General features: G+C 41.2%; 1 protein-coding gene and 1 pseudogene across 23 annotated transcripts in view; one reads left to right on the top strand and one right to left on the bottom strand.

The window, feature by feature from the left end:
- Nucleotides 1–12,399, top strand: part of NBPF9 (NBPF member 9) — a 51,366-nt gene that overhangs the window by 11,640 nt on the left and 27,327 nt on the right. For 16 of the 23 annotated variants that reach the window (XR_007060075.1, NM_001388374.1, NM_001388367.1 and 13 more), the window contains 4 exons: nucleotides 1,018–1,159; nucleotides 9,482–9,640; nucleotides 9,738–9,947; nucleotides 11,757–11,859. Coding sequence is in view for 22 of the 23 variants with exons in the window: in NM_001388374.1 (NP_001375303.1) it covers nucleotides 9,773–9,947; nucleotides 11,757–11,859 (278 nt within the window). In the remaining variant the exon portion in view is untranslated. Of the gene's footprint in view, nucleotides 1–1,017; nucleotides 1,160–1,483; nucleotides 1,708–6,980; nucleotides 7,233–9,481; nucleotides 9,641–9,737; nucleotides 9,948–11,756; nucleotides 11,860–12,399 lie in introns of all 23 variants that reach the window. The other 7 variants (NM_001388379.1, NM_001388381.1, NM_001388370.1 and 4 more) reach the window with 4 other exon arrangements.
- LOC102724437 (profilin-1-like) lies at nucleotides 6,654–7,433 on the bottom strand (annotated as a pseudogene).

The following is a 12,399-nucleotide window of genomic DNA, read 5'->3' as shown; positions in this document are numbered from 1 at the left end:
GTGTGAATGAGGCTTCCGAGAGTGTCCATTAAGTGCAGATCCTTGACATAATTCCCTTACCTCTGTCGACCTGTGAAACTGAACAAACAGCTTATCTGCCCCTAATGTGAAATGATGGGACAGACATAGAATAACCACTACAGTGATTCTAGTTCAAAATGAGGGAACATGGAGGGGATAAAGAAGTCAATAACCCAAAATAGTTTGGAAATGGAGCTGGGCAAAATCCAGCAGGAGTTTCTTAGTTAGGATCCACAGCCTGGGACTGACCCTCTGTCCTGTGGGTCTTTGCCTCTGGGCTCTCTGCTCTGCATTTCTTGAAACCATTATTATTTATCATTTTTCTCACACTGTTTTGCGTATGGCTCCTATTGCACTCAAAATGTTTTTGAGATTCATCCATGTTGTTTTGTGTGTCAAAAGTTTGTTCCTTTAGCCATTCCATGGAATGAATGTATCACAGTTTATTGATCCATTCTTGTATTGATAGATATTTGAATGTTTCCAGTTTTTCCTATTATGAATAAAACTGCTATGAACATTCTTGTATAAATCATTTTCTGGACATATGTTTTAATTTCTCTTGGATAAATGCTTAGGAATTAGTGAGTCATAGAATAGGTAGTTGTTTAGTTCTGTAAGAATATGCCAGACATTTTTTCCCAAAGTGTTTATACTATTGTACATTCCAACCATTAATGTATGAAGGTGAGAAAGCTTTTGCTACTTCCAAAGAGGCCTCTCTATATACATGTAATTTTTTCTAACTGGAGACAGGCTGATGACTTCAGGGACATGAGCATGGGATACCTGTCATCACCACCACCATAAAGTTGGGATTCAGGAAGGAGGTTAATCATATAAAGAATCCTGTGACCAGTATGAGCTTCTCTCAGGCCACACAGGGCACTCAAGTGAACAGGGCATGGGGGCCCTGGGGTCATGGTAAGAAAGTGTCTCATTGGTAAAACCTTTTCCTCTGGGGAGGTAAATAAATGATTTGTTTCTTCTTGGTAGCCCTTGAAGATAAGGATGGTCAAACAAAATAATATCATACCTGGAGAAACTCAGATCTTGCTAAGATTTACTGGTTGGGAATCCAAAGTTAATGCCAAGAAGCAGCCGCCAGTTGGGATCAAATGTGAGCCTATGGATCAAGGTGCGTACTCAAACACAGAGAGCTTTCTGAAAGATGCTACCAGTAGTTTTTCCAGGGCAGAGATGGGTCCTTTATTTTTCTCTCTAATCTAGCCCATATGCTTAGCTGAGTTTTCTTCGTATCACTTTAAATGATGATGTCCCTTGTTGAACAATTTTCTAAACATTCTTTAGATAATAATTTTATGGGCATTCTTTATTGCATTAGGCTTAAATTTAATGCATCTTAAGGTTTTATTGCAAAATATTGCCTTGTTTCCTTTTTAAGATGATACAGTTTATAATATGCAAATTTATTGTCTGTCCCCTCCCTTTATGTACATAGGAAATGAGCAAACAGGTGGCCATGAAACAGATGGTCATAGAATTGGTTCAGTGGTTGTGAGTGCAGCAACCCAAGAGTGTCTTATCTGAAATACCACCAGGAATGTCTGGACACAGTAGACAAAGTTTTTTCAACTGGACGCCTTAGGATACATGCTTCCAAAAACAAAGTAGCCAAAAAGAAACCAGAGTCACAGAATATCAGAGCCAAAGGAACATTTGGAGGTAATTCAGTACCTCCTCCTTTTCAACCTACAGGGGAGATAGTGGAAGAGAAGCAGGGATGGGTCTGCCTTCTGTGCCCACAATTCATTGGAGATTGTTGTGGTGAAGAATTTCTTTTATGATGAAGGAGAAATAAACTCCCATCAGCTTTAATTCAGGCAGGTTTATTGAAAAGGTGAAGAAGCATCTTGCAGAAGCAAAGCATGGCTGAGGCTTGTGGGCTCTGTCTGGACAAATGAGCAGCCGACAGTGGCTGATGCTGCCCCTGACTCTGGGGCCGTGCGGTCTGTGGTTCTCTGTGAGCATCTCTTCTATTCTCTTGCACCTTCCCTCAGCCTGGCAGTCTCTGTGTACTCTTCAACCCATAATTGAGCGAGGCTGTACCAGCCCCAATGCCATGTAGCACTTTATGTCAAATTAGAAAGGCATGAAATAAACTAGCCCTTTATAATACAACTGTTGGAACAACAGTTGAAAATAACAATATCTTGACTCCTGGTTGAGTGCTTTACGCTGAGCTGTCTTTTCCGAATATGAGCACAGACTTGGGGATATTAGTGTCACCTAGCGTTATTAGCTAGTATTCTCCTTTTGTTTCCCCATAACATCCCCTCCTCCTTCCCACAGATCCACTCTCCACTCATTTCCATCCTGTCTTATGCCACTTGGGGCTTGTCCCTTCTAGAATGCATCCCTGGCTCCCCTGTGTGCACACTTGTAGTTAGGTTTAGCAATGGGGGCACCCGATGGAGCCTGGAAGTGAGAGGAAGGTGAGGTCCGTATTTCTTCCCTCTCCCTCCCTGCTCTGGCACTGAGTATCTGGCAATAGCTGCATCTGTCTATTACTTCAGTGGCCACTCTTCCACAGCCCCAATTCTCAGTGGGTCCCATAGCATTATTTACCTTTGTTCCTTTAGCTCCCATCAAGGAAGACCCAGAGGCATTCTCCTCACCAAGGCATTAAGAAATGCATGGGTGAGGGGAACAGCGGTGTGCGTGTAAAGGTCCTGTGGCACCTCTCCTCTGCAGGCTGGAGGTCATGGCGGGAGATGCCGCATGGATTTGCCCTCCCTGCTGTCAGAACAACAGGGTTCTGGAAGAGTAGAGGACAGGCCGTGGGACTTGGCTGTCTAGAGACAAGGCGGGAGGGATTTCCTTGAGAGGCAGGGACATGTGGTGGTTACTAATCATTGTGAGGTGTCTGGGATGTAATGGATGGGAAATCTACTAAGAAGTCAACTTATGTAATAATTAGAAAAGCTCTAGTTCTGAGGACAGAGACCTGTTGGAGTCACCATAGTGGGAATTTTTGACCTGGCATCCAGTTCAGATACCTGGAGCTTCTTGACTGAGGGGAGATTGGATCCCTTGGGGAAGAGTGAAGCCTTCAATGCTGCCACAAGTGTGATCCGCCTGCCTCAGCCTCCCAAAGTGCTGGGATTACAGGCGTGAGCCACCATGCCCGGCCTCTTTTTTATATTTAAAAAATATCATTTTATATATTATCAGGGCAAAAGAGAAAAACCGTATGATTACCTTGTCATACACAGTAAAAGCATTTGGCAAAATTGAAAACTTTTTTCATGATTTATAAAAACAAACCCCAGAAAATGCTCAGCATGATGAGAACAGAAGGCAACACTTCCAACCCCATTAATGGCAGATTTGAAGAACCCACAGGTAACATTATATTAAATGGCATAAGATTGAATGCTTTTCTATTAAATCAGAGAAAAAAGTAGAATACCTGTTGTTACTCTTCTAATTCAGCATTATACTAGAGCTCTAAATCAATGCAATAAAGTAAGAAAAATTAATAAAGTATTGAAAAGAAAGAATTGAAGCTGTCTTTATTCACAGATAATGACTGTGTTTGTTAACAATGCTAGAAATCTACAAAAATCTACCAGAACTAATCAGTGAGTTTGGTAGTGTTGCAGAATGTAAGCTCTCAATATAAGTGGTCTTTTGTATTTCTGTATATTAGCAATGAGCATTTGGAAAATGAAATAAGAATACAATTTCATTTAAAGTAACATCTAAATACATGTTGTGCTTATAAATAAATTCAACAGACTGGGCACCGTGGCTCACACCTGTAATCTCAGCACTTTGGGAGGCCGAGGTGGGCAGATCATGAGGTCAGGAGATGGAGACCATCATGCCTAACACAGTGAAACCCCATCTCTACTAAAAATACAAAAAATTAGCTAGGCGTGGTGGCATGTGCCTGTAGTCCAGCTACTTGGGAGGCTGAGGCAGGAGGATCACTTGAACCTGGGAGGCAGCGGTTACAGTGAGCCGAGATCGCATCACTGCACTCCAGCCTGGGTAACAGAGCAAGACTCTGTCTCAAAAAAAAAAAAAAAAAAAAAAGGAAAGTCAACAAAATTTATGTAAGGCCAGTACAACAAAAACTACAAAAAATTGCTTTGGGAAATTATGAAAGAACTAAATTAGTGGGGAGATAAACCTTGTCATGGATCAGAAGAGTTGTTATGTTTAAAAAGTCAGTTCTTCGTAAATTGATCTCCAGATCCAATGCAATTCTAATAAAAATTCCAACCGGCATTTTGGTAGAAATTTACAAGCTGATTCTACCATTTATATGGTAATGTCAATGATCAAGAATAATAAAATAGCAATATTATAAAAGAATAATGGTGAATGAATTCACTACCTATTTCCAGAATTACTCTACAGCTATGAAAATCAAGATTATGTGTTTTGTTGAAAAAAAAAATGGAATATATATCAGTGGAAGAGAAGAGAGAATCCAGAAATAGATACTCACATGTATGTCTAATTGATTCTTAGGACATATATATATGTATACACACATACACACACAAACGTGTGTGTGTGTGTGTGTATATATATATATATTCACCGTTTTGAAGATTATCATCTCCAAATAGGGAATATATATATATATACAGACACACACACACACACATATATATATATATTGCAGTCTGATACGATAAACAGCACATTGAAACAATTTCTCAAAAGACTTAGATACTTCAGAAAAGAAGACACATGAATGGTCAATTAGCATAGGAAAAGATGCTCCACTGTTTAGTCATCAGGGAGATCAATCAGTGCAACAATGAGATACCAGTACATATCCATAAGAATGGCTAAAATTAAAAAGGCTGAAAATAGCACCTGTTGGTGAGGATATAAAGCACTTGGAAGTCTTATACTTGTAGGAATGAAAAATGGTATGGCTCCTTTGAAAATCTAACAGTTTCTTAAAGGTTAAACATAACACAAATCAGATAGACAGTCATTCCATTCCTGGGAATTTACACACTGTGTCTGCACAATGATCTGTATGTGTGTTTCCAGACCAACCTGAGGGGCGGGCTGCTATTTCTCGTGGCTCAGTAACGAGACACAGATGAACTGGGGAGGAAGAGAGTTTTGACTTCTGCAACTGGTTACAGGGAAACGGCCTGGAAATTATCACCAGACCAACTCAAAATTGGAAAGTTTTCCTGAGCTAATGTACCTTCTAAGCTATATGTGTATGTGGAAGTGTGCATTCATCTAAATACATAAATGATTAACTTCTTTTAATCTATAACTAAGTCTGAGTCCTGAAGACCTTCCTCTGGAACCTCAGTTAAATTCAGTTAATCTAAATGGGTCTAGGTGCTGGGGGCCCTTATCTTGTCTCCTGCTAAATCACAGAGGTTTGGAGAGTCCCTTCAGATCTCCAATAAACTTGTTTGTGGAGGCCTGGGGAGTTTCTTCAGACCCCCAATAAAACTCGTTTAATACTAAATGGCTCCTGTTAAGAATGCCTTCGTTATTTCGTCATGCTTTAAGGCCCAGGAAAAACCTAGGCAAAACTCTTGGTGGGCTTTTGTTACATTCCAGCCTTTGTATAAGGGCACTGGCTTCTTTTTTTTTTTTTTCCTCTTAATATTTAATTGAACCACTCAGTCGGTACTGAAACAGTTGTTAGGGAGGCCTGTGTTAGTGAGACCTGGCCTGCCACGTATGGATGCTCATGATAGTTTCTTCATAATAGCCCAAACGCGGAATGATAGAAATGTCCAATAATAAGTGAAAGTACAAACATACATGGTATAGCCACACGAAGGAATACTACTCAGTATTTACAAGACATTACAGATGGATTTTAAAATTACATTGATGCATGAAAGAAGGCAGACACAAAAGAACACAGGTATCATTTCATTTATAGAAAATGGTTAAAAATGCAAACGGACCTGAAGTGACAGTGGCTCCTTGGGGCTGAGGGTTGAAAGGCTGATGAACTGCAAAGGGGTACAAGAAACTTTGGGGCATAGGGAATTTCCTCTATCTTGGTTGTGACAGTAGTTCCGTTAGTGTATCCATTTGTAAACGTGCATTGAATTACACATTTTAAAGTGGTGCAGTCTGTTGTACCGAAATTATGCCTTTATAAAGTTGTTTTCATCATCTTAATTTCTCCATACTAGCAATTAGCAGCTAGAAAATGAAATTCAATAAAACATAATAGAGATTAATAGCCAGAATCATTACATGCTTAACAATACATGCAATGAAGCAGGTACAAGGCCCCTAAAAGCAATTGGTGAGAAAAATTAAAGAAGGCTAAATAAATATATATAATGTTCATTGATTGGAAGACTCAATTTTGTTAGCATATTACATCAACACAATTCTGCTTATTATTTCTAGTAGGAGATTTTAGAGAAATTTGAAAGCTAGTTTCAAAATGTATTTGAAAATCAAAGAACCTAGAATAAGCAAGTCGATATTGAAGAAGCAATAAGTTGGAGGACTTACTCTGCTAGATTTCAAACCTGATTTTAAAGCTACAGTAATTTTAAAACAGTAGTAATGGTGTAAGTATTCATAAATATATCAAAGTGAAAGAATACAGACTCAAACAATATGCCCACTTATGTACAGTTATTGATTTTTTTTTAGTAGAATCTTTTTTATTCATAAAAAATCTATCAAAAAAAAGTTTTCCAGCCACACACAGGAGGGGTATGGGTGGGGGAAGGTGTCTGTCCATCTATCCCTGGCCCCCAGCCCATGTGGTTTTGGCAGCAATAAGGTGTGTGGAGTGATGACTCCTGAAATTAAAATGGTGTGTGTATGTGAAGGAAAGGTGGGCAAAGCTGTGGGGAGCGGTGGAGTGGAAGGAACAAAGGAGGTCAGTACTGGGAACGCTGAAGGTGGGAGGCCATTTCATAACATTACTTGTTGATGAAATTGCCATGGATACCTTCTTTGCCCATCAGCAGGCCTAGCGTCTTGGCAGTCATGGTGACAATGACGTTGAAGGTGGGGGCTCCACCGATGCTCTTCATACAAAGATCCGTGGTCAATTCCCCATCCTGCAGCAGTGAGTCCAGGACCACAGTATATTTCTGGCCCCCCCAGTGTCAGCCCATTCATGACAAAGCTTGACCAGTCTTTGCCAACCAGGACACCAACCTCAGCTGGCGTGATGTTGAGGAAGGTTTTCCCTGGGACGGCGGCCCAGATGGAAGGTGGGTCCTTGTTGCCCACAATGGCCGTGTCCTAACAGGTCCCGTCCGCCACGAGGCTGTAGATGGAGGTGTCCACCTGGCCGTTGCGTTGCTGCAGGGGCTCCTCTGGTCGCTGCTGCTGGGGCCGCCTGGGCTGGTGGGTGGGGGAGGCGGAGAGCTCGATGCAGGTGCTGTCCTCCTCGCCACGACTCTGCTAGCTGTGCAGTAGCCCTCGCTCCGCCACTTAAAAAAGAAAAATATATATATATATAATATATATACACATGTTATATATATTGTATATTATGTATATACACGTATTATATATACACACGTATGTATATACACGTATATATATTATATATATTCATGTGTGTGTATATATTATATATACGTGTATACATGTATATATGTGTATATATAATATATATACACGTGTATATATATTATATATATATACGTGTGCCATGTTGGTTTGCTGCACCCATTAACTCGTCATTTACATTAGGTATTTCTCCTAATGCTATCCCTCCCCCAGCCCTCACCCCATGACAGGCCCTGGTGTGTGATGTTCCCCGTCCTGTGTCCAAGTGTTCTCATTGTTCATTTCCCACCCATGAGTGAGAACATGCTCGCACCGCCGCTTCTAAATGTTTTAAAAACAAAGACACCAATGCCCTTCATTGGGGAAATGAAAGACTTTTAAGTAAAACGATTTTGAGTGAAATAATATTTGTTGTTTTAAAAAGTTAATATTAACCACTCTCCATCATATGTTGAAATTATCTTAAGATGTGAAAGTTAAAATTAGAAACCTTGTAAAGGAAAAATAGGAAATAGTTTCATGAACTTGACACAGGAAAATATTTCTTAGACTAGATACTGTAGCACTCACCACAATAAGAAATCAAGCGAATTGCACTTCATTTTTAAAAAGCTTCTCCTTATTATGTTGTTGTTTAACAACTTAAACGCTATCTCTAGACCAGGAATAATTATTTGCTATATATTACAGCAAAAAATATGTATGTATAAATGGACTCATTCAAAATATATAAAGAACTCCTATTACAAAGAAATTGACAAACAGCCCAGTATATCAATGAATATAAAAATTTGAGAAGATATTTTCCATAAGAAGATATCTAAATGAACATTAGGCATGAGAAAACCAAATTTTAGGATATCACTACACACCTGGCATAGTTTAAAAGACTGAAAATATTAAGTGTGTGGGAATGTAGAGCAACTGGAAATGGCCTACATCTTTCATAGAAATGTAAAACAATACAAATACTTTGCAAAACTCTGTCCAACATTTTCTACCCATTCACCAAGCAACTCCATCCCTAGCTATAGATACCCAGGAAAATAAGTATGTATCTTCACAGAAATAATTGTATGAGAATATTCATAGTTACTTATGCACAGTAGTTATCAAGTAAACCTGTCTCCCATCAGAAAAATGGATATCAAATTGTGTGATAATCATACAATCAATAGGATATTACTTGGCCAAAACAAAATGAAACAAGGGAAAAACACAATCAAACAAATTAGTGGCATATATACCCACCTGAGTAAAGAGAAGTCGGCCGGGCGCGGTGGCTCACGCCTGTAATCCCAGCACTTTGGGAGGCTGAGGCGGCAGATCACGAGGTCAGGAGATCGAGACCATCGTGGCTAACACAGTGAAACCCCGTCTCTACTAAAAATACAAAAAAAAAAAAAAAAAAAAAAAAAGAAAAGAAAAATTAGCCAGGCGTGGTGGCGGGCGCCTGTATTCCCAGCTACTTGGGAGTCTGAGGCAGGAGAATAGCGTGAACCTGGGAGGCAGAGCTTGCAGTGAGCCTAGATCGCGTCACTGCACTCCAGCCTGGGCGACAGAGTGAGACTCTGTCTCAAAAAAAAAAAAAAAGTCAAAACAAGAGAACATACTAAATGATTCCATTTTTTTATTTATGACTTCATGACTACCATTAAGAAAATATAACCTGTTGGGAAACTGTTTCTGCCTTGATGATGTTGTACAGACAAGAGATAAACAGTGAGGAATATGCTTAGATGTATTGGGAAAGACACGGGTCTGTGGCATTGTCACAAGGGTACACGAATACTGAGAGTGAATGCTGAAGGAATGATCCCCATTGGTGGTGACCCTCAGGTGAGACTAGGGTGCCTGTGTTTCAGCAAAGCCTGGGCAATTGGAATGCAGGGCTCCTAAGATTCCATGACACCCCCACCTTCTAATTCTGTTATTGCAACTGCAGACGGTTACCTGGCACGCTGGCCACAATCTACCTCACTCTTATCAGAGTCTGAGCTACTGGCAGTGCTTTCAGCTCTGAGTTGAGGCACCTCAAACCTTGTTTTTGTGGTGAAGGATCCTAAAGTGCTGTGGGAGTGATCACATTTTTCACAACAGTAAGGTAAGAATTTCAGTTACTGACATCCCTCAGTCCTGATTAAACCTATTTGATTTCACCAGTTTTTAACCCATCATATGTTTGGGTTTCTTCTCCCCAGTCCCTGGCCCCACCTCTTCTGCCACAAACGTCAGCATGGTGGTATCAGCCGGCCCTTGGTCCAGCGAGAAGGCAGAGATGAACATTCTAGAAATCAACGAGAAATTGCGCCCCCAGTTGGCAGAGAACAAACAGCAGTTCGGAAACCTCAAAGAGAGATGTTTTCTAACTCAACTGGCCGGCTTCCTGGCCAACCGACAGAAGAAATACAGTAAGATCTATAGGCTCACCGTCATGAAAGTGATGAATGATGTCCTGTCTTCTCTCTGAGACACTAAATGCTCTCTCCATCAAAAATAATTTCATCCTTCCTGTACTTCTAGGAAAACAGAAATGGGTATTTTAACATTTGGTTAAAGTTGGAAGACAGAGGTACCAAAGTATTTAGCAACTTTCCATGTTTGCAATCAGATGGGGGTGGGACTAGAGTTAAACTCACAGTTATTGATTTCTAACACAGGCACAGAACGACCTGTTTTCTCCAAGAGGCTCAATCATGTTTTCAAGAATCCTCTCTGTACCTTATAAGATCCTGCAGACAAATAACATCTAGTCTGTTGTTCTAAATGTCTAGGACTAGTGAACTTTTATTCAGTTCAAATTTCCGTTGAGGCCCAAGAGGCAAAGCTCTGTTCTAGTGACTCTGAGGGGAACTTGGTGATAGTAGCCAGTACCTGCTCTGAGGGGCTTCAAGAGGAGTCTGCTCCTAATAGAACCTGTGCTACCTATAAGTGACAGCATCAAGAGCAGGGAGTAGGGGCCGTGCAACGTGGCTCACTCCTGTAATCTCAGCACTTTGGGAGGCTGAGGCGGGCAGAGCACGAGGTCAGCAGTTTGAGACTAGCCTGGGCAACATGGAGAAACCCCATCTCCACTAAAAATACAAAAAGTAGATGGGCGTCGTGGAGGGCAACTGTAATCACCACTAATCGGGAGGCTGAGGCAGAAGAATCCTTTGAACCCAGCAGGCAGATGTTGCAGTGAGCCAAGATTGCACTATTGCACTCCAGCATGGGTGACAGGGCAAGACTCGTCAAAAAACAAACAAACAAAAAGATAAATAAATCAAAAATAAAAATAAAAGAGAGTACCTTGGTGAGAGTGAAGTCCTGCTTCCTGGTGCACAGGCTCTTGTTCCTAAAGAGGAAGAAAGATCACACCCGAGAATGTGTGGAAGCAGCAGTGCAGTGTGCAAAGCAGGGACCCTCAGCCTGTCTCCTGGGCTCCATCCAAGTTGCTTGTCTTGTCTGTCCCTCAGTTTCCTCATCTGTTCAGAGGGTACTACAATAATACCTACCTCTGTAAATTGCTGCAATGAATTACATGAGGCATTTCCTGTCAATCTCCTTGAACATTAATTGGCACAGTGTAAACACTATCTATTAGTTCTTCATTCTGATGTTTCTAAATTAACACAACGAATCTAAATCTTAATGCTGCCTCTCATACTAATAAAGTATTTGGGCATATTTCCTTCATGGCCTTATTGTCTTATGTCTCACACTTTATGCTTCAGATATGATTCTTAAAACCATATCTGAATATTGATCTAAAAATGAAATATTTTTAAAGTCCTTGACATATTTGTCCTTGAAATACCCAGTAAAAGGGAAACCATCAGTCCCATAGTCCTAGGGGCCTTCCCGACTGTACAAGAAATCACTACTTCATGCCCCAGTGCAGTGTTTTAGAGGAGAGGCTGCAAGGCTTGGGAAAGTGGCCCCGCATTCAGAGTCAGACCTCAGGGGCTGTGAGTTCTGACTCCACTTCGTTGTGGTTGAATCATCTTGTCAACTTCCTTGATGCGCCCTTGAGGTTCTCTTTCTTCGTCTTTAAATTTTGGAGGATCAGATGCCAGAAAGTCAGGAGACTGAAGAGTAAAGATGTGGAAATCCCTGTCTAGACCCTGGTACTGGGGAGAGTTTTGTCCTTGGGATGGACCTGGCTCCTGCCCTGTAGGCAGTGACCACAGCAGCATGTCCAGCCTTCCACTGAGGCAGGCGTGTCTGTCTTTTCTCAGAGTATGAAGAGTGTAAAGACCTCATAAAATTTATGCTGAGGAATGAGCGACAGTTCAAGGAGGAGAAGCTTGCAGAGCAGCTGAAGCAAGCTGAGGAGCTCAGGTGAGGGGACCCCGTGGGGGGAGGCAGGCGGGTAGGTGTGTAGATCTCTGAAGTACAGCAGCTCGGCGGGGAGAAATAAGAACGAAGCTGGGCCAGGGGAAGGGCAGAAATTGCCATGGCAGGCTCATGACACACAAATATTTATCAGAGAACAAGGATAATAATAAGTTCTGTGTTGCAGTTGTTTCTTAGAGCCTTGTTTTCTCTTTTTCAAACAAGTAATTGTTGATGTGAAATTTACATAACACAAAATTCACCAAAGGAGTGGGAACCACCTAGCAGCATTCAGTATACTCAAAATGGTGTGCTATTGCCACCCCACTTACCCTTAGTGAGAATCACCTCCTGACTGACTGCGGCTTCTCATTCTTTCACTCAATCAATGTTGCCTTCTCGACCCTGTCATTCTTTTCTTCTTTCGTCTTTTCAATTCGCCCCATCTGCCCCTGGCCTCATTTCTGTACATGGCTTTGTATCTAGTGGCCGCAAGATGCACTATGTGTATTTTCACATGGAAATGTCCATGGCCAGAGTGAGGAA

Source organism: Homo sapiens, chromosome 1 (assembly GCF_000001405.40).
Source record: "Homo sapiens chromosome 1, GRCh38.p14 Primary Assembly".
NCBI lineage: Eukaryota > Metazoa > Chordata > Mammalia > Primates > Hominidae > Homo > Homo sapiens.
Note: the sequence above shows the minus strand (reverse complement) of the source record. Positions and strands in the feature narration are given on the sequence as shown.